This window comes from Homo sapiens, chromosome X (genome assembly GCF_000001405.40).
Source record: "Homo sapiens chromosome X, GRCh38.p14 Primary Assembly".
Classification (NCBI taxonomy): Eukaryota; Metazoa; Chordata; class Mammalia; order Primates; family Hominidae; genus Homo; species Homo sapiens.
In genome coordinates, this window is record NC_000023.11 from 128993503 (window position 1) to 129016168 (window position 22666).

The 22666-nt window shown below is 40.0% G+C and overlaps 1 long non-coding RNA gene across 8 annotated transcripts in view; it reads right to left on the minus strand.

Annotated features, from left to right (window-relative positions):
* LOC124905213 (uncharacterized) overlaps nt 1-22666 on the minus strand; it is a 275363-nt gene that overhangs the window by 82433 nt on the left and 170264 nt on the right. The window contains exon 6 of one of the 8 annotated variants that reach the window (XR_007068321.1): nt 21352-21666. The exons of the other annotated variants lie outside the window; for them this stretch is intronic. This is a non-coding gene — a long non-coding RNA (uncharacterized LOC124905213). Of the gene's footprint in view, nt 1-21351; nt 21667-22666 lie in introns of those variants that run through there. 8 annotated transcript variants of the gene reach the window in all.

Below are 22666 nucleotides of genomic sequence, written 5' to 3' on the forward strand. Positions count from 1 at the left end.
ATTTTAGCATTCTCTCTTAGGTGATCTATTCGTGTGTGATTATCTACTCACTATTTTGGTTCTTCTTTGTGGAGGAGATGAATACCAGATTCCTCTAGTCAACCATCTTCTTTTTTTTGAGATAGGGTCCTGCTCTGTTACCCAGGATGGAGTGTAGTGGTATGATCAAGGCTCACTGCAGCCTCCACTTCCCAGACTCAAGCAATCTTCCCACCTCAACTTACTGAGTAGCTGGGACCACAGGCACATACTACCATGACCAGCTATTTTTTAAAAAAATTCTGTGAGATGGGGATCTCACTATATTGCCCAGGCTGCCCTCAAACTCCTGTACTCAAGCGATCCTCCCACAATCAGCCTCCCAAAGTGCTGGAATTACAGGCATGAGCCACCATGCCTGGCCTAAGGAACCATCTTGAAGCCCATTGATAAGGGAGCTCTTATATGGTCTTGGTGGGAATGTAAATAAGGATAGCCACTATGGAAAACAGTATGGAGATTTCTTAAAACACTAAAAATATAACTACTATATGGTCCAGTGATCTCACTACTGGGAATTTATCCAACAGAAGAGAAATCAATATATCAAAGGGATACCTGCACTCCCATGTTTATTGCAGTATTCACAATAGTAAAGATCCATATCAATCTAAGTGGATAAAGAAAATATGGCACATATACCATGGAATACTATGCAGCCACAAAAAGAATGAAATCACATCATTTGCAGCAACGGGGATGGAACTGGAAATCATTACGTTAAGTGAAATAAGCTAGGAGCAAAAGACAAACTTTGTATGTTCTCATTTAGGGGAGCTTAAAAAGTTGATCTCATGGAAGTAGAGTAAAATGATAGATACCAGAGGTTTGGAAGGGTGTGGAAGGGGGATGAGGAGGGTTTGGTTAATAATGGGTACAAACATACATCTAGATAGAAGAAATAAGTTCTAATGTTCAATAGCAGAGTAGGGTGACTATAATTAACAACAATATATTGTATATTTCAAAATAGCTGGAAGAGAGGACTTGAAATATTCCTAACACACAGAAATGATCAATACTCGAGGTGATAGATACTCCAAATACCCTGACTTAATCATTACACATTCTATGCATGTAACAAAGTGTTACATGTACCCCATCAATATGTATATTATGTATCAATAAAAATAGTGTCATGAAGGCAGGGATTTTGTCCTGGTCATAGATGTATACCCAACACCTAGCACAGTACTTGAAACATAGTGGGTGCTCAATAAATATTTGTTCAGTTCACTAAACAACTCTGAGTTCTAACAATGACTCTGTCATTAACTGGCAACTCTGTGGCTTTGGGCAAGTTCTTTCCTCCCCCTTGAGCCTCGGTTGTACCATCTAGAAAATGATGGTGTGGAACTAAACTATCTCTAAGGTACTTATCAGCTTCATAATGCAATCAATGATTTTATAAATTGACATATATTGCAGCCATTTTCCAAAAGCAGAAAATAAGGGAGCAGGCATCATCATCGTCACTATTCTCTATCACACAATAAGTATTTATTCAGACCCACCATCTGCCATGCTGTATGCTAGTTGTTGAGAATACAGCAATTAATTTAAAAAACACACCCTTCCCTCAAGGAGATGGTAATCTAATTAGGAAATATTCTATATACATGCAAATCAAAATAACAATACAAAGTACAATGCTCAGTGCCAAATGAGTTGAAATCATAATGATAAACAATTTTGATAGCTAAAATTTATTGAGATCTTACTATATACCAGGAATTAATCTAAAAAATTTACTTATATTAACTTATATAAGCCTCACAACAAACCCATGGGAAATATACTATTATTACAACCCTAGGAAACAGGTACTGGTACTACTGTATCTATTAATGGATAGTAAGTGCTACTGGCATGCAGAAGATCTCACAGAGGACTGAGTACAGGCAGTCTTGAAGGAAACAGGAGCTGAGCTGAGCCCCAAATGAAGGATGGAATTTAGATAATCAAAGAAGAAAGAAAGAGACCATTTCAAAAAGGAACAACTTGAGCCAACACATTGAAAGGGAAATGTATATTGCAAATTCAGGGCATAAGAAGTTGAGTGATTTCACTGGACTAGAGTTGCCTGGTAAAACTATCGAAAGATAAGTTTCAAAAGAAAGGTGACAACTGATTTGTGGAGGAGTTTAAATGTCATGCTAAGGAATGTGGCCCTGTTCTTGTATATATTGGGGCTCCAATGAAATTTTTGAGAGTGGAGTTTCATGATCAAAATTACCATCTATGAAGATTAATGTGGCTATGAAGAAACCACTAAAACCTAGGTGTGAAGTGATAACGGTTCATATTTGGGTTGTTACAGTAGGAGACAAAGAAATTAGGGCTGTAACAGAAACTACAGAAAGAATTAACTATAATCAGTGACTGATTTGATTTTAGATGATGATACGGTTAGGCTTTGTGTCCCCACCCAAATCTCATCTTGAATTGTAATCTCCATAATCCCCACATGCCAGGGGAGAGACCAGGTGGAGATAATTGAATCTTGGGGGCAGTTTCCTCCATGCTGTTCGCATGATAGTGAGTTCTCACAAGATCTGATGGTTTTATAAGAGGCTCTTTCCCCTTCACTCAGCACTTCTCCTTCCTGCAGTCTTGTGAAGATGTCTTGCTTCCCCTTCTACCATGACTGGAAGTTTCCTGAGGCATCCCCAGCCATGCTGAACTGTGAGTCAACTAAACCTCTTACCTTTATAAATTACCCAGTTTAAGGCAGTTCTTTATAGCAGTATGAAAATGGACTAATACAGATGACAAGATGCATATGACAAAGATGACCCCAGTTTTCCAGTTTTGGGTATTTTTACAGAAACGGGTAAGTCTTGAGGAGTGGGAGATAAAAACTTATAGAACAACTTTAGAAACATTTATAAATAACTTAACCATCATCCTGAGAAGACTTACAGTAATATAAATGTCAAGTTAACTCTGACTTAAATTCAACAGAATAAAGAAAATACTGACTGCATTATCAGGTGCTCATGAGACATTAAATGATAACTTTGCTATAACCATTTAGAAAGGAAGAGAAGTCACACTTCATGAAGGGTTCTTATTTTCCACTCAGCTAAAAATTGTGAAAAGCTACTTGAACTTATACAGAGCACATTGGTAAATGAGAATATTTATTAATGCATGGTATGATGGATATCCTCCATTTGCCCATTTTCACTCTCCACCCTTTGCTTTGCTCCTGCCTGAGAAGCTCACCTATATGGATCTTATCAATTGGCTTCTTTCTCTATGGCTTCTGAATGGACTTGGCCAATTGTGAGCCCAGTAAGGGATCAGAGGGAGGGAGAAAATAAAGTCAGAGTATTTAATCCTAAGGTTGTTCTGGCCTGGCTGTGCCCCTAATCCAAAAGACACTGCCCTTCTCAAGTCAGCCTCCCTTACATGACTCTCTCCTTCTTGGTGCCAGTAACTGCTCCCTCTTCTTGTCCCTTCAGCTTAGAAATAGTAATAGCTGCTTGTGCTATTACTATGCTATACCTAGTATCCCTTATGCCCACACCTCTGTAAATAGTTTCTTTATGAATAGATCCTCTTCAAATTATTCTAATCTAAATGTATTACATCTTTTCTATTAGCACATTCTGACTGACACACTTGAAAAGTGGGTTTTACATATATACTACATAGTCTAGGTCAATGTAGTATCATGGTAAAGAGCTTGGGTTCTAGGGTCAGCCTAACCTATCTTTGAGTCACAGATCTGCCATTTGCTAACCTATGTGGCTTTGGGCAATGTTTTTGATCTGTGAATCACAGTTTCTTCCTCTGCAAAAATGGGAATAACAATAGTATTTTCCTCAAAGTGCTGTTATAAGGATTAAATGAGACAGTATATGTAAAGTGCCTGACACAGTGCTCAGCACGTATAAGTACTCGATAAATATTAATTATTCTTCTCATTCTTTTTATAGCTCATAGCATCCACAGAGGTGGGAAGTACAGTTTGAAAATTCATTAATTAGGGTCCTGTTTACAATTTTATTGTTAACCATAATTGCATGCTTAAAATAGTCTCCTGACTTCATTCAAGTAATTATAGCCTGTCAGTAAATGATGGGTTTAAATTTCTGCACATATGCTAGAATTTTACGCATCTTGCACTTCACAGCAGGGACCCAGTCTTAGTCGACACTTTCTTGCTCTGACATCTGCACTCAATACGTAGGGTCTTACTTAAGCAAAGACATAATTGTCCTTCAAAATAAAAGTGTAAACAGGATTGTGGATCTCAGATTTGTTAACTTCCTCCCTTACTGTGAACATTCTAGTTACACTATCTGCACTGGACTGTCAGCATTGCAGAAAGTCAGCAAGTTGTTATACAAAATAAGAAACTAGAACTCCAAGAAACTGAGGCAAAGCTACAGGTGAAGGGAAAGACCCAGGCAGAGGAGCTTACTAGCCCTGTGAAATTAACCAGGAGTGTGAGTTCAGTACAAAGTTAGAAGTCAGAAATCAAGGGCTTGGGTCGTAGAAGCCATAAAAGGATCATGGAAGTGAGAAGCAGGCAATGTATCTAATATTTAAGATATATCTATTCAATACCTACTATGTGCAATAATTCATAACAGGCAGTGAGTTAGGTCTTCGTGGGAATGTAAATAAGGATAGCCACTATGGAAAACAGTATGGAGATTTCTTAAAACACTAAAAATATAACTACTATATGATCCAGTGATCTCACTACTGGAAATTTATCCAACAGAAAAGAAATCAATATATCAAAGGGATACCTGCACTCCCATGTTTGGATATAGAAAATAAAAACAAGACAGAGATGTAAAATCCAACATCTAGGCAAACATCCTGAACCGAGTCCTTTGTAGGAAAAGGCATGAGTTCAAGTATCTGGACAAGCAACTGAGGCAGGAGACATGGAGTTCTAGCAACAAAAAGTCTTGGTAACTGAAGGCAAGTCCCCCCTTTCTAATCACGGAGTCGCTTCTGTACTTCCATCCAAGGCAAGCTTCACTCCTTGGACATGGCCACCCTCAAGCTCGCAAATGAAAGAATCTTAAAAGCTGCAGGTGACTGAATGGAAGAATAAAGTTAAAATGAGAAAGATAAATAAATTCTGGCACACATACATAAAAAGTACAAACATAAAAAGTGCATGTTGTAAGTCCTCCATAAGCCGAACAGTTTTGTTGCTTGTCTGTTTTCGCTTCTCATATTACATTATTCATAGATTGAAATACTCCAAGTCGGATAAAAATCAAATGACTTCCTCACCACCAATAAAGGGAAGAGAGATATATATGCACTGGGTTTATGAGGCTGCAAAGGGAAATGTTGGAGAGCGTCTCTATAAAACTAAGGGTAAGATTCCATTCAAGACAAAGGAAAACAGACACATGCTGAGGATGAAAGAAAACAGCAACAAAATGAAAACAGAAAAATGAAACAAACAGAAGGGAAAGTTAGCTTCGGGGTATGTTGTAACCACCCAGCCCAACACTCTATCACTATCCTTGGAAGAACCGTGCTATGGGAGGAGAAGAGGCGGGAAGCAATTAAAAGATGTGGCCAGATCCTAAAACAAGCTTTCACAATATTAAAGGGTACCAGCTGCTTTTCTTAAAACTCCAATAGACAAAACTGTGAAATTACCTGGCCAAAAATGGGGTTCTATTATACAAATTGGAAAAGAATTTTACTTTTTCTCAAATATAATGATTTCATCAAATACACTTCATTACCTAATCATTTGTATCAAAAGGCTTGAGAAAAATAAATGATCTAATATTTTGTCCGGGAATGAAAACCATGTATTTTACATTATATACAATTTTCAAAATAAATTTGCCCTTGTCTTGCCCTTGAATATACAATTCCATCATGTATTCTTGGCAGCCAAGATTGATTCATGACTTAGGTTGGATTCCTCCCAGAAGCTGACGCTGACACAAGAATGTGAGTGCAAGTGGTGTATGTGGGAGATGATCCCAGAAAGCACTGGTAGAAAAACAGGGAAATGTGGCAGGTTAGAAAAGGAAGCCTATACAGGGTGCAATACTGAACAGGTCACCACTGAGTAACTGGTATTCTATCCCACTAGAGAAGTCTGCGAGAGAGTATAAAACACCTCAGAGCTATCCCAATAGAAGGACCAGGAGCTGGGAGTATTTATCTCTCAATTCCCCCCAGTACTTAGGTGAAGGCCGCTTCACTTGGGGGAGGGGGTATATTAACTCCAGCATAGATCCTACAGGCTCCAGAGACCAGAGAAAGCACACAGCTAATGAGTTGCAGGTGCTTGCAGTTAAAAGCTGTCAGATGGGTGTACACAGAAATGGTGAGGGCCCAGGAGATATGGGTGTGGCCACAACAGTATCTGCTGCAACACACAACTTCTTCCAACTACCTGAAGGATGAAGGAATAAGTTCAATGGCATTTCAAGGCATCTTCCAACTTTATAATTCTTTGATTATGTAAAGAAAACATGTAAAAGTGTTCTAATTACTATAATATAAAAATATACATGAACACCTGATGATTTAAGTTTAAGAAGGCAAGGACCATGAGTATCTGGTTCAGTACTATAGCCCCTTGTTTGCACTGTGCCCGTGCTGTGTCTGGCACATAGAAAGCTTTCTAATCAGTCAATGTTTGTTGAACAAATGAGTAAGTAGGTAATTATAATCAAAAGGTACGCAATTCAGTTCACATTTACACTTCTCTGGTCAACTAGTCATCTACAGCCTTTTGTTTATTTGAACAGAAGCCTCTTCTCTAACAAAGGTCAGCAAATATTCTACAGAATCAGTTTTCAGTGAGGGAAAGAGTTCCTCTTTAAGCTAACAAATGACTTCATTTTACAATAGCACGACAGACAGGTTCTTAATTAATTTGCTAATAGTTTTTCCCTATGTATGGTTATTAACTCTAGATGAATCTTTAGCCATGACACAATGTGTGCATATATCTATGCCACATACAGATGTATTTGCATACATATGAATAAAAGGAAGACCATACAAATGGTTGACTTTATATATATCAATTGTATTTTATGGAACACTCCCAGGTTTTGACAATTGGTTTAGCACAATTTAGCTACAAGTGCTTAAAATATTCTTGAATATGAAGAAGTAAAATGCTGCCTTTCCACAAGATGCAGGAAGAAAGTTCGCAAGAAAAATCAGGGCAATTTTGCATAGCAACTTCTATATTTACATATCAACAATCTATTTAATGAGGAACATCAAAAATAGCAGATCAAGTAAGTCCAGAAGCTGCAAACACAACGCATCCTGCAAAATTCAAAACAATAGCAGTTGAGCAAGCCTGACCTGTGTTTAAATATTGGAAAAATACAATGTTGCTTTAAAGCAAAACAAAGCAAAACAAATCTCCTGGCTTGCCTTCTTCAAACTAGAAGAACTGTATGCTGATCACATGGGATGTGGTCCTTATCTGCAAATCTCAGCTATGCTAGTGAACTCAGTTCTCTTCTGAAGTACTGTCCTGGTCCTGTCAGTGAGTCAATTAGTCATCAGTGAACAAGTACCCACTGTGAGCTGAACACAGAAATAAACATTATTGAGGGGCAACAAAAGAAACAAGACCCAATTTCTGTCCTTGAAGAGTGAGGACCTGGTTGCTTACATAGAACACACATTTTAAAATAATAATAATAACCCTTAAAAATGCTTACAAAGAAACATCAAGCAGTGCCAATTAAGAGTGGAGAGAGGAAGAGTAAAAGAGATTGTGGATGAAGTCTAAAAACCCATAAAGTGGGCGGAGGGGAAAATAAATACTTATTGGCAAATCTTAAAATAGTTGTATTAGCGAAAGAGTTACAAACCAGTTGTGTCAGATGGAAGCACTTTGTAGATTATCTAGCCAGCCAGTATGTTTTAAAAATGTGTATTTGAATGACTGTAAGTTCTATCATGCCCTATTCATACCAACCCTGATAGTTTCACACATTTATAGTCAGTTGCTTGCCTGCCCAGTGAAACCATTTAAATTTGCTCTCCCTGAGTTACAGGGGAAAAAATATCATTTAGTAACTTGCTACTAAAGCATGGTCCATGGATCAGCAGCATCAGCATCAGCATCAGCATGATCTGGGAGTTTGTTAGACATGTAACCTCTCTTTAAAGTTCATATGGAACCAAAAAAGAGCCCGCATTGCCAAGACAATCCTAAGCAAAAAGAACAAAGCTGGAGGCATCACACTACCTGACTTCAAACTATACTACAAGGCTATAGTAACCAAAACAGCATGGTACTGGTACCAAAACAGAGATATAGACCAATGGAACAGAACAGAGCCCTCAGAAATAATACCACACATCTACAACCATCTGATCTTTGACAAACCGGATAAAAACAAGAAATGGGGCAAGGATTCCCTATTTAATAAATGGTGCTGGGAAAACTGGCTAGCCATATGTAGAAAGCTGAAACTGGATCCTTTCCTTACACCTTATACGAAAAATTAATTCAAGATGGATTAAAGACTTAAATGTTAGACCTAAAACCATAAAAACCCTAGAAGAAAACCTAGGCAATACCATCCAGGACATAAGCATGGCAAGGACTTCAAGACTAAAACACCAAAAGCAATGGCAACGAAAGCCAAAATTGACAAATGGGATCTAATTAAACTAAAGAGCTTCTGCGCAGCAAAAGAAACCACCATCAGAGTGAACAGGCAACCTATAGAATGGGAGAAAATTTTTGCAATCTACCCATCTGACAAAGGGCTAATATCCGAATCTACAAAGAACTTAAACAAATTTACAAGAAAAAAATCAAACAACCCATCAAAAAGTGGGCAAAGGACATGAACAGACATTTCTCAAAAGAAGACATTTATGCAGCCAACAGACACATGAAAAAATGCTCATCATCACTGGCCATCAGAGAAATGCAGATCAAAACCACAATGAGATAGCATCTCACACCAGTTAGAATGGCGATCATTAAAAAGTCAGGAAACAACAGATGCTGGAGAGGATGTGGAGAAATAGGAACACTCTTACACTGTTGGTGGGACTGTAAACTAGTTCAACCATTGTAGAAGACAGTGTGGAGATTCCTCAAGGATCTAGAACTAGAAATACCATTTGACCCAGCTATCCTATTACTGGGTATATACCCAAAGGATTATAAATCATGCTACTATAAAAACATATGCACACATATGTTTATTGTGGTACTATTCACAATAGCAAAGACTTGGAACCAACCCAAATGTCCATCAATGATAGACTGGATTAAGAAAATGTGGCACATATACACCATGGAATACTATGCAGCCATAATAAACGATGAGTTCGTGTCCTTTGTAGGGACATGGATGAAGCTGGAAACCATCATTCTGAGCAAACTATCGCAAGGACAGAAAACCAGACACCGCATGTTCTCACTCATAGGTGGGAATTGAACAGTGAGAACACTTGGACACAGGGTGGGGAACATCACACACTGGGGCCTGTCGTGGGGTGGGGGGAGGGGGGAGGGAGAGCATTAGGAGGAATACCTAATGTAAATGAGGAGTTAATGGGTGCAGCACACCAAGATGGCACATGTATACATATGTACCAAACCTGCACGTTGTGCACATGTACCCTAGAACTTAAAGTATAATAATAATAAAAATTTTTAAAAAATTAAAAAAAAGAAATGCAGCCTCTCAGGCATCACCACAGACCTACTGAATTAGAATGTTAATTTTAACAGATTCCAGTTGATTTCTATGCATGCTAAAGTTTGAGAACCACTGGTTTAGTTTAGCACACATGAAAGAAAGCCCTACTTCAGCCAAGAGTAATTAGAAATAGGGACTGTGCTACTCACCAAGTGATAGGGTAAAAATAAACTTCAAAAAAATTGAGATCAGTCAAAAGGTAAACTAAATACAAACAAAACATATCTTTTAAAGCAGTGGTTTTCAAACATCAGTGTCCATCAGAATTACTTGAAGTACTTGCAGACTCTGGCTGGACCCTGACTGAGACTCTGATTGAGGAGATGTGGGATGGGGCCTTTCAAATAGGCACTTACAGGTGAGGCTAATTGCTATAGATTGAATTGTGTCCTCATAAAATTCATACACTGATACTCTAACCACCAGTGTGACTGTATTTGGAGTGAGGCATTTAGGAGGTAATTAATATTAAACAAAGTCAGAAAAGTGGGGCCTAATGCCATAGAATTGGTGGCCTTGCAAGAGGAAAAGAGAAAATGCTCTCTTTCTCTACTCCTCCCTCCCTCCATCTCTCCCTCTCTCTCTCCATTCCTCTCCCCATCCCCTGGCCTTCACTCTTTCCCTGTCTTCCTCTTCCCCTTTCCCTCTCCCCATCTTTTTCCCAGTCCCACCCTCTCTCTCTTCCACTCTTCCTCTCTTCCTTCCCTCTCCTCCCCCTTTCTCCTCTTATCATCTCCCTCCCTTCCACTTCCCACTCCTCTTTTCTCACTCCTTCTTTTCATTCCCCCCTCCCTCTCCATGCTCCATGCTCTATATGCACTCAAAGGAAAGGCCATATCAGGACAAAGTGGCTATCTGCAAGCCAGGAAGAGGGCCCTCAGCATAAACAGATGATGCCAGCACCCTGATCTTGTACTTCCCAGCCTCTAGAACTGTAAGCAAGCACATTTCTGTTGTTTAAGCTACCCAGCCCATGGTATTTTTTCTAGCATCCCAAGCTGTCTAACACAACGAGGCAGGTCATCCCCTAACCTCACTTTTTCCTGGACAGACCTCCCTATATCCTGGGCCTCCTAACAAACATGGATTACTTCTGCTACTACTATTTTCTACCCCAGCGCCTCTGAAGGTTTCAGTGGCAAAGCCCAGGAAAAGTACATCATCATACTCTCAAATGAAAGGGGCAGGAAAGCATGAGGGATCAGTTGTTATTGTCAGAATGGGGTGGCCCAAGAAGCCTGGGAAGGCAATTGTGATGTTGAAGATGGGACAGAGTTTCCACAGGCAAAGATGGAGAAGAAGGAGAGTCTAGGCTGGTTCCTCTTCCTTCCCCCAAGTGCAATTGTCAGGTGGCTGGCATTTTGTCTCATTTTCCACTCTAGAATTCAGCCCTAACAAAACCTCCAATCTTCATCTCTAAACATGATTACCATGGTGGTTGAAGTCACAGCTAAGACTAGCGTAGGTAATTTTGTTGTTGTTTTTTCATGGGTTTCCTACCTTTTTTCAACCTCAGTTCAAGTGTAAACATTCCAAGTACAAACTCTGGGTCCCTACCACAACCTCCAGTCAAGCTACTCCATCTTAGTACTCCAACTCTCCCTTGCACTCCAGCCATGATATCTCCCCATATTTCCTATCCCTATAGCAAAAGAAGAGGCCACATCTGTTGGGATTGGAGCAAATGGATCAGAGAAGGCTGGGACTCTAGGGATAAGCAAGATTTCCATAGTCAGAGATAGAGGGAAGGTAATTCCCAGTAAGAGCAAAGACATACTGTAAAATACTGTCTTTCAAACTTTATTATACCTCAGTGTCACCTGGAAAGCCAGTTATAATTAAGATTTGGGGGAAGCCATTCTAATTCAGTAGGTCTGAGGCCCAGGAATCTGCATTTTAACCACCATTTTTTAGCTTACTCAGGTGGAGGCAATCAAAATATCACACTTTGACAACAACTATTTGGATCCACTGGTTCAGTAGCACAATCCTTCACACAGATGTGACATCATATATCTGAGTTCTAGTCTAAATGGGAGAAGTGAGCTCTTTCCTTGCGATGGACAAGGACAAGGGAGAATAAACAGTCCTCCAAAGTATTTTAAAATAAAGGATGAAATTTGCTAGAGGAGAGGCCTGACATTGGAGTTTCAGGGACTGTAACCACGCATTTCAGATTTCCAACTTCTTCCCTAACACCTAAAAGCAGAACATGCTTTTAGTTTCCTGCCAGTGACCTGTTATTTTGCCCCCTCTACAACAGTTTTTAAGTTGCTTTTCCTATCTGAGTCCATATTTTGCTTCAGGTCAGAAAACCTCCACATCACCACCAGATGTTTCTTAAAAAAAAAAAAAAAAAAAAAGGTCTCAACAATACTTCTTCTTTGCTTAATATTTTTATGATAATTGTTCCCTAACTTCTGTGTACACTATTTAAAGAGCTTATTTTTAAAATGCAGATTCTTGGGCCTGACATCTGTTCCCCCCCCCGCCCCACCCACACACACACATTTTAATATTTTAATTCTGTAGATTAAGGGTATGGCCCAGGAATATGCATTGTAACAAGCTCCCCAGGTAATTCTGATGCAAACTCTGGATAGATGCTCATAAATTTATGTAGGATCTATCCCAGGAACAATTTGCACTGCTCACTGGGGCCTTTAAGAGATACCATTCAACTCTTAGGACTGTCAAGCTCTGCAGTGGATGCGTGGGAGAAATGTTTGGGGCCTGAGAATCTTCCCGAGTTTGGGAAATCCCACAGGCTTCGAGGTTCCTGACCAGAGGAGGAATATGATAAAAACACAAAGTGATTATTTGAAAAACTACATACAAGCACAACCGTAGAGGAGATGGGATTAGAGACTGAGAAGAACTAAGCCAAAGGTTGAGGAGCTTCACAAATAAACTCAATGAGTCTCCTAATAGAGTAACTTCATTTTGTTTTTTGTGTATTTCTTTTTTGATTGTTTGGTTTTGGCCTTGAAAAACTTTAATGAAAGTGGAATCCTGGAAAAATATGGCAAAAGAGAAAACAAAAAACAAAAACAAAAGGCTTCCTCAGAAAAGGAATGAATGGATCTCAGGAATTAGCTGCTTTGTGCAAATCTAGGCTCAGTGTATGCAACCTTGCTTCATTTTCCTGCTGCACTTTTAAGTCAGAGGAGAAAAAGTGTTTAGAACAGAAAAGCAAAAAGAAAGGACAAGCAAGAAGCAAAGCAGAAAATACATTCAGTGCCTAGGGGATTGGCACGGGGGTGGGGTTGGGGAAAGGTGGGGAGAAACAGACGAGAATTTAGAGCAGGATTTTTTTTTTAATTGAGTAAGGAAATAATTCCACAGCACTAAGAGCCACATCACACTAGAGACTGAGCAGAGCAGCCCAGACCAATAACGCATGCCATATGGTGAGTTAGAAGCCAAGTGTGCCTGGCGCCCTCAGCTCAGAGAAAAGTCTACCTTTCAGAAGCTGATAATTTTGCCGACCACCTGGGGTTCTTTCACTGTGGCATCCCTGGGGACATGAGACTGCATTGTTTCCCCCAGCAAAACCTGGTAGATATGTCAAGCATAGGAGGATTTTTCAAACTACATGTTTCAGTGCAGCCAATAATGAGGCAGTCAGTGTGCTTAAAAGGAAGAGTTTGCACTGATTTCAGTCATTGGGCCAGTAAAACGACTTTATTAGAAATTATCATTAATAACACCTAATGTCAGGGATTTTCATGATGGCCCTGCTGATATCCCACATCGCTATCTTAGATTTTTTACTACTGTACTTCAATAGATGAGGTGTAGAACCTTGCTCTGGACTTATTCTTCTATTTTCATGTGGGCACACACGCTTCCCTCACACACACTGAGCCCCCACAGTAAAACTCCCGTGTCCTATGTGCCATTAACTCAGGCACATGGATGAGTGACTGCTAATCTGATAACCATGTCCAGCCTACTGTGTTAATGAAAACGAATATCCTAATGATCATATAAAAATGTGTCAGGTTGGTAGCATAGTGGTTAGGAGTCAACTACAGCTGGTTTCTAATGCTGGCTCTATCAGCTATTAGCTGCCTGACCTTGAGATGGTCATTAAATCACTGTGTGCCTCCATTTGATTTCATCTGCAAATCAGAAGTTTTGTCAGGGGATTTGCCAGTATTCAATGAGATCATGTATGTCTAGCATTCAGCACAGAGCCTATCTTATAACAAATGTCCAAATGTTTTTAGCCATTTTGATGTTGCTGCTGATTCTACTCCTCTCCAGGACTGTTCAGATTTCAATAGGGAAGTTCTAGAGACACGTTAGCAACAGTCATCCTGGGTATTTATGAAGGAGTAGGAAGGGGAGTTGAGCTTGGGGCCTTATTAATTCCAGCACAACCAGGGCAGAACTCATCAGATTTCCTGAATCGTTCCTCACTGATGGCTTGGACCATGCCTCTTAGTGTTTCCATTTCTGGTCCACAAAATGGGATTGTACTGAGGCCAAATTGTCTCCTCTATATGAAAGGAAAGAAAGGGGGCCTAAAGAAAATACGAGGTGGGACTGCTGTAGTCCTTTGTATTCCTCAGTGTGCTATTTTTGGCACTCTGTCCTCACAGTATGTCTCTGTTTTTCATTCCTTGCCAGAACCAAATTCCAATTAGGAGTTCATCAACAGTAGGAATTCTGCCGCAGAGAATAAAATAATTGTGACATGTTTGTTTTAAAGCTGATTTTTAGTTAATAAAACATCTGTTGGGGATAACTGGTGCCTTACAAAAATTCTTTTATAAATAAATCAGGAAGTTGACAGGTCCAAAAGCAATATCTATATATAGACAATACTAATGATAGAGAGTATATATATATATATATACACACACACACACACACATACATACACATTTCAGACTACATGTACAGCAGCTGATTAGGTATCTAATTAAACTTCTACTCGGGGCAGTCAGGAAATGTCCTAAACCTCATTTATCAATGAGATAAACTGGAAAAGACTAGTGCAATAGAAGGTATCACATGTGCAACATTAATAAACAAGCAAACTATAACCACACAGGGACAAAAATTCAATAGGGACTCCAAAGGACTCTATCTTCTAGAGTGAAGAAATTATACCCTTAAGATCAATGGCCTTTTCAAGCAAAAGGAAAAAATAATAATTTAATACATAGAAACAGAGAGTAGAATGTTAGTTACCAGGGGAAGGAGGTTGGGGAGATATAGGTCAAAAGGTGCAACGTCTAGGAATGTAATGTACAGCATGAGGACTATAGTTAATAATATTGTATTGTATAGTGAAAATTTCCTGAGGGTGGATTTTAGGTACTTTTACCACACGCGTACACACACACACACACACACACACACACCCCTACCCCTTCCCACACACACAAGCTAACTATATGAGACCAGAGATATGTTAATTTTTTTGACTGTAGTAATTATTTTACTATGTACAGTCATGCATCACTTAATGATGGGGATTTCATCATTGTGAAAACATCATGGAGTGTACTTACACAAACCTAGGTATAGCCTAAGACACACTTAGGCTATATGGTATAGCCTATTGCTCCAAGGCTACAAACCTGTACAGCATGTTACTGTACTGAAAACTGTAGACAATTGTAACACAATGCTAAGTATTTATGTGTCTAAACATATCTATACGTAGAAAAGGAACAGTGAAAATACAGCATTATAATCTTATGGGACCATCATTGTATATGTGGTCTGATGTTTGGTTGATTAAAACATCATTATGTGGTGGGGGGCTGTATATGTATATCAAAATATCATGTTATACACCTGAAATATATACAATAAAAATGTTTAAAACCCAAGATGTCGCAAGGTAGAGCACAGAAAAAAGATCTAAGCAGTGTATTAACAACTCTTAGTGAGTATTCCCCGAAGCTTCCATTTATCCCACCACCCCCATTCTAATCTTGGTTTAAGTTGATCATGATTAAATTAATCTGATCATTAAATAACGCTAATGAGAGAAGAGGTGATGATCCAGACACATTTATTTTTACCATAGCCAGGACTCATTGCCCCTATAGCCATGGCATCTAGGATCCTGGGGCAATAAATGCAAATGGAATCAGAGAACAGAGACTGACCAACCAGAATCTATGTAAGTAATATGGACACATAACAAATTCCTCATCATAAATATCAACATCCACACCTCAAGACTGTTTCAGGGAGAAAGGCTTTCACAAAGCTTTTATAGGCTCCACTTCTCCAGTCCCCTTCTCCTAAATCTGTCCCCCTCCCAGATACAACAGGCATATAACCAAAGTGGGTGGTAGTGGAAAGATCATAAGAAACAATATAAATTAGTTTGAGGCTATATCCTTCAATTTCTGCCCATGGCCCATGGTAGTCTTTGATTATATATATATACATACATTTTTTTTTTTGAGACAGTCTCGCTCTGTCACCAGGCAGGAGTGCAGTGGTGTGATCTTGGCTCACTGCAACCTCCGACTCCCTGGTTCAAGGGATTCTCCTGCCTCAGCCTCCCGAGTAGCTGGGATTACAGACATGCGCCACCATGCCCAGCTAATTTTTGTATTTTTAGTAGAGACGAGGTTTCGCCATGTTGGCCAGGATGGTCTCGATCTCCTGACCTCGTGATCTGCCCACCTCGGCCTCCCAAAGTGCCGGGATTACAGGTGTGAGCCACCACGCCCAGTCAATACTATGTTTTTTACTGTCTTATCTCATCTGTTGATTTCCGAACCAGGCCAAGACAGCACTCCTTGATAATCATGCCAAACTTCAAAAATTTTGAATTCTTGATTTTTATGTACCAGGCTTGAGAAACATACATTTTCCTCTTTTCCCACCTTTATTCTTGTTTACAGGGGTTCTATAATGGGGTCCAAGCCATGAGTGCGTGACAGGTATTTCAGCTCAATTAGATGGGGAAGGAAGAAAGAAACAAAGGAAAGCCATAGGTGGATGGTCACTCAAAATCTTTAAGACTTTCTGACAATTAGGATCCTGACTGAGAATGGGGCTGGGAGCAAAGTTTGTTTCTATACCCCCTTCCTACTTCACTGTTAATTCTATATTAATGTTTGACTTTTCTATGATTAATATTGTGATTAGCAATCATAACAATAGCATTATTAATATTAATTATTGGGATGATAATGTAGTGGTGGCCTTTGGAGAGATCTCATCTAGGTTTTTGCTTTATAATTTATCAGTAACAGGAATGGTGGATATTCTAGGAAAAGGAATACAGTACACTGCTGTGAGTTTTCTATTGTCCATCAAATAGACCCCAGTGTGGTACCTAACCAAAACAAAGTGGTGCTCTCAATTCCATGCAACTCATCAGGCATCTTGTGGGCCTTACCATGCTACCCAGCCTCAAAAGCAAATGCCAACTGAAAATCCCATCATGTTTTCTCAAAGTGACTGAGCCAATGTTTTTCTGTCAAATTTAAGAGCACACAATGTCAGCAGACAGGTCCACATTGCACCTCTGTCACTACATTTTAGACTCTCTAAGTTCCTATAAGCTCTGTGGATGTTCAGATCATGCTGTGACCCGGCTGAGGGTTGTTCCATTTGCCACAATTCTCCCATTAAGGTTTTCCCTGCCAGGCTTTCAACATGCAGACATTAACAAAAAGCAAGATCCAACTGCAGCTGTATCACCTATTGTCCCTCAACAATTGGAAACTAACACATAGTTGGCAGAGGTTTAATCTCTAGCTATGGCAACCCTGTGTGTGCCCCCAATTACCATGACCCTCAATTACTCAGAGGCCCAGCTCCCCAGGAAAGGAAAGCACGATAAGGCAGGTCCCCTTAGTGCCTTTCCCTGTGATGTGATCTCTGTGGCCCAAAAAGAGACAGAGGGATCCATCAGGAACCTAAGAGCTATTAATCTCAGGACATTCCTTCCAACCTGAAGAATGCCCCTTCACTTGTTCCTGTTATTAATGTATAGAGCTGATTCAAAACACTGTGCTTCCATGCCAAGATTTCACTTTGGGATTTCTTTATCTTTTCTAGCCTGCTCTGTGCCTTACATCAGATGGTGTGTTATGGGGGAGGGAGGAAGCAAGGAGCCAGAGAAGGGAATAATAGGGAAAGGAAAAAAGAAAGAAGAATCTATGGTTTTTGTAATGAAAGCCTGCCTTATGTCAACTAAGTAGCTCTCTCTAGCCTGCAACAAAATCTGAAATTTCAAACAGCACTTATACTTTTGACATTATTTCAATCCAACCGAGATATATAGGACATCTACTTAAAGTGAGGCACCATGCTAGACTACGTAGGAGATGTGGTCCCCAGGCTTTAAGAAGATTTAGTATACAGGGGAAATGAGAAGGACAAAAGTAACTGGGAAAGACTAGGAAATGCAATGGGTACTCTAGTAGAAGCACAAGGAAATAAAAGATATGAAAGCATAGACATTTCTTGGGAGAGCACAGGGAGTCTCCACTAGGATTTCAGAGTATTGCTGAGTGGCAGGATGCTAAGAAGCATGAGAGAAAGCACCAATACCATTTCTTGAGCTCCTTCTCCAAACTGTAAGACTTTAAAACATGTCAAATGTGGTTTCCGACCTAGCTTAACATATGGAGTCAGCACTCATCTCTGTCCCATCGTTTGAGGAGCAAAGAACACCTCCTCACCTCAAAGTCCATCCCTGACCAGGAAATTCTATAAACTGAGATAGCCTACCTAGACATGTCCCTTTCTGCTGCTTTTTTCTAGCTCCCATTTTTCCTCCAGAGGAGATAGATAGATGAAAGTCACATCAAGTACAATGCCAGAAAGGCCCTGGAGAAACCTGAGGGTCCCAGGTACCCAGGTGGAGCCGAGATGGAGACTCAGGGGAATAATAAAGGATGGATAATACCACTTGGGCCAAACTCTGCCAAATAGCCTCTGCAGGGAGCTGGTTAAGAGAAAGCTTCTGGAGTCAGGCACCCTTAGCTTTGACTCCTGACTCTGTCACTTAATCTTAGATAATTTACTTTACCTTTTTGGACATTAATTTCCTCACCTACGCAACAAAGATAATGATGCCTACTTCATAGGGATGTCCCAGTGTTTAAATGAGATAATGTTGGTATAATGCTGGGAGATCATGAATGCTCAATAAGCAGTTCACAATTTGGTTTACAGCTAACCCAGACAGTGAAGGCATATACTAATGAGGAAATGATACGTATCCACTGTGTAATAGTTAGAATTCCACGATAGTGGAGGGGGGGTGTAAAGGGGGAAAATACAAGGTTGTCTATCAGATTACAGAAATCGATTTTTTAAAAAACACTTCCAAAGGAGAATTTGAGCAGAAGGCTGGGCCTGTGGGGCAGAGAAACCTGAACAGGAGTAGTTGGAGTGTCTGACAGGAGGAGGCCTCCTAGGAGTGGTCAAAGATGGGTGATGGAGAGATCAGTGAGGTACCCTTTTCCCCTGAGTATTTGTCAGAGATGAGGACTGAGGATGAAACTTTCAGGAATGGGAGTTGTAGAATGAACACAAATCAAAAGATTACTTTGTATATATGTATGGAAGGAAGGGACTCTGAGGTTGCAGGGGGTGAGGTCTGCTGTTACAGGCTCTAATGATCATTTCACAACTTGCAGACAGATGGAAAAAGCCGAATGGAAAAGTTGGGAAGGCTGGGGAGGGTGAGGGGGTGGGACTCTATATTTCTCCTTACCCCCTTCTCTTTTTGTAATGCTATTTCTTGGTTAGTCAGGAGCACAGTATTAATGTCTTTCTATAGAAGTTTCACAAAACTTCATACCTTTGACTTCCCAAATGAGATGACTTAGGTGGCAGACTCTAGGTGTGGTTACCATAAAATTCAAAACAAAAAGATGCAACTAGTTTCAGGCAAGAGAGTTGCTATGGTCTGAATGTTTATATCCCCCCAAAATTAACATGTTGAATTCCCAATCCCCAAGGAAATGTTATTAGGATAGGGGACTTTTGAGAGGTGATTAGGCCCCAAAGAGATCCCTCACCCCTTCTGCCATGCGAAGACACAGTGAGAAGATGGCCACCTATGAACCAGAAGTGGGCCCTCAGCAGACACTGAATCTGCCATCACTTTGATCTTAGACTTCCTAGCCTCCAGAGCTATGAGACATAAATTTCTGTTGTTTAAAAGCCAAAATGTTATATTTTGTTGTAGCAGCCAGAATGGACTGAAACAATAATCTTTTAAAGCAAACAAAGCTCCACGTGAGTGAGTACAGAAAATGAGAGGAACTGAAACAGTTAGGAAAATTAGAGCAATGCCTCTGAGGTAGAGACTGAGTGTGCAGGCTCTGAGGGCAATTCCATGGCTGATGAACTGCAGCTTCTCTGCCACCAAGTCTCTCACTCCTCTATCAACTTCCTTCTTTTTCCTCCTTGGAGTTATATGTCTTGGTTAGACAGCACTGCTGTGTTAGATCATAAAGCTTCATGCCTCACACCTCCCAACCAGATGACCTTTTATGATAGACACTGACAGGAAAGCCTAAGTCAAAGCTGTGCCTAGGGGTCGCTCTGCTAACATCTAGCTAAGAACGCAGCAAAAGGGTTGCACTGGAGCAGGTGCTTTGGGGAAAATGGATTCCAATCTAAAGGAAGGAAGCAGGACTGAAACTTCTGACAAGGTATAATGCCTGTGGATGAAACCTGAATTTGCTAGCTCTGGAGAGGATCTTTGGTCTCCGAAGGAGAGAATCTAGGGAATAGAGGCTTCACTTCAATTATAGAAACACCTATCTGTTTTCCAAGGGAGCAGAATAGAAAAATGTGCTCTGCTACCTGGCTTCTCTTTTTTGTGCTTATCACTTTATGTTCATAGTGTTTCTCATAGTTGAAGGCTGAGCTTTATAGTACATATAGAATACAAGCCCACAGCTATTTCAATTGTTAGATTATTCTCTGTCAGTGCATGTTACAATGATTCCATGTCTTTTTGCTAAACTATTTTGAAATACTGTTTCATCAAGTTAAAATACTAAACATTTAGTTGTGCCATAGCATGATTTTTACTTGTTTTGTGACTCTTGTCGGATACTTAAATGATCACATGTGATGTGACAAGGAAGATACCATGGTCCAATCACCCACAAAGTAGTAGAAAAGAGATAGACAGCAAGACAAAAAGAAGCAGAAATAGCAGGGACACAATGTGGTGGGAGGTTTGAAAGGGAAAGAGATTTATTTAGGGAAATAAGCTTTAGCAGATCCATGTACCGAGTTTCCTAAGCCAGCAGGGTCAGTTTAGAATTGATCTGCAAGACAATGTTTGAATGCATTCTATACTTTCTTTTGCTCCCCACCAGCATACTATATTTTGATGATTGGTCTTTTGGCACAAGACTAGAAAATGCATAACTGTGAGGGCAGAAAGCATTGCACACATTAAACAGTGGTTGGTGCAACACACATTTAGTGTATCTCACAGCGATCTGCATTTGCTCAATTTCAACCCACTGGACTGCTAGGTAATGGGAATTGCAGCCTGAATGTCTAGGCTGGGGTAGAATAGATCCCCTGGAATGTTTTTCTAATATCTATTTATCAAGCTCCCTAACTGATGTAAAAATCCATACAGCAGAGACAGCGTCAACATTTTATTTTTCTTCCAAAGGAAAATACTTTTTTTATTTCAGGTAGCTCATCCTCTCTAGGCTGCAGACTGAATACATTCTTTTTAAGTCTAAGCATTAATTAGACAGATAAAGAAATGTAGCTCCCTTTGTTCAGAAGGAGAATTCTATTGAGCCTTTGACAATGAAGCTGCTTAAGGGACAGCCTGAGTTGCTGTTTCTGCAGAGTTTCTGTAGAAGGAAGATAAAGAGGCTCACTAGTGGAGGACTCTGTCTTTGTGCCATCTTCTTGCTGCTTCTTCTGGGCTCCAGTGGGAAGTAGAGCCCTAAAAAGTAAATAAAAGGTCCATGAAGGCCAAAATGAATCCTGTGACTTAAAGCCAGAAACCAGAATGCACCACTGGCGCACCTAATAGCCTCAGAAAGTGTTTGAGTGGTTGTTCCCATCTTACGCCCTGCTACTTCCCACTAGCATCAGATGACAGATTATGGTGAGCTCACAAAAAAGCCCCTAAGGAACCCAGCCAAGATAGGTTTCTTACAGGTACAGAAGGCTCCTTGAGGCCACACTACCAGTTTACCAGGTGCTTGGGAGGGGGAGGTTCATTTTGCGCATCCACAGTTTGCTTTAAAAACTGTCTTATGTAACAGGAGAGAAGCCATAAACACCAGCACTCTCAAGGTCACCTCCACTGAATGCAGGGCTTGGGGAACACTGTATAACTCCTGAAAAGGTGCCAAGTGCCAACCCTAGGCAGCTCTCTGGCTGCAATTTTGTGTCCCTACTTTGAACAGATTATCCAGCTGAACCACTCTACTACAGTCCTTGCTGCCCTTAGGCCACTGTCATACATCTCACTTTACCCCAACAGTCAAAACCTTGGCTTTTTACTTTTCCTTTTTCTGTTTTTGGACTTAAAAGCTTTTAATTGCAGTAAAATATACATACAAGACAATGCACATATCATAAGCATCCAGCACGGTAAATTTTCACGAATATGTCCATGTAACCGATTCCCAGGTCAAAAAATAAAACACTGCTAGCACCACAAAAGCTCTCCAGCTTTTATCCAGTCACCATCACCCAAGGGTAACAACTACACTGACTTCTAGCGTAAGTTCATTTTTATATTCTTTTTTAACTTTTTAATTTTTAGATTTTTAAAATTTGTAATTGCCATAACAATTATGTATATTTATGGGCTACAATGGGATGTTTTGATATATGTATACATTCCAAAAAGATTCAATCAACCTAATGAACAGATCTATCACCTCATCAATTTATCATTTAGTGGCTAGGCACGGTGGCTCATGCCTGTAATC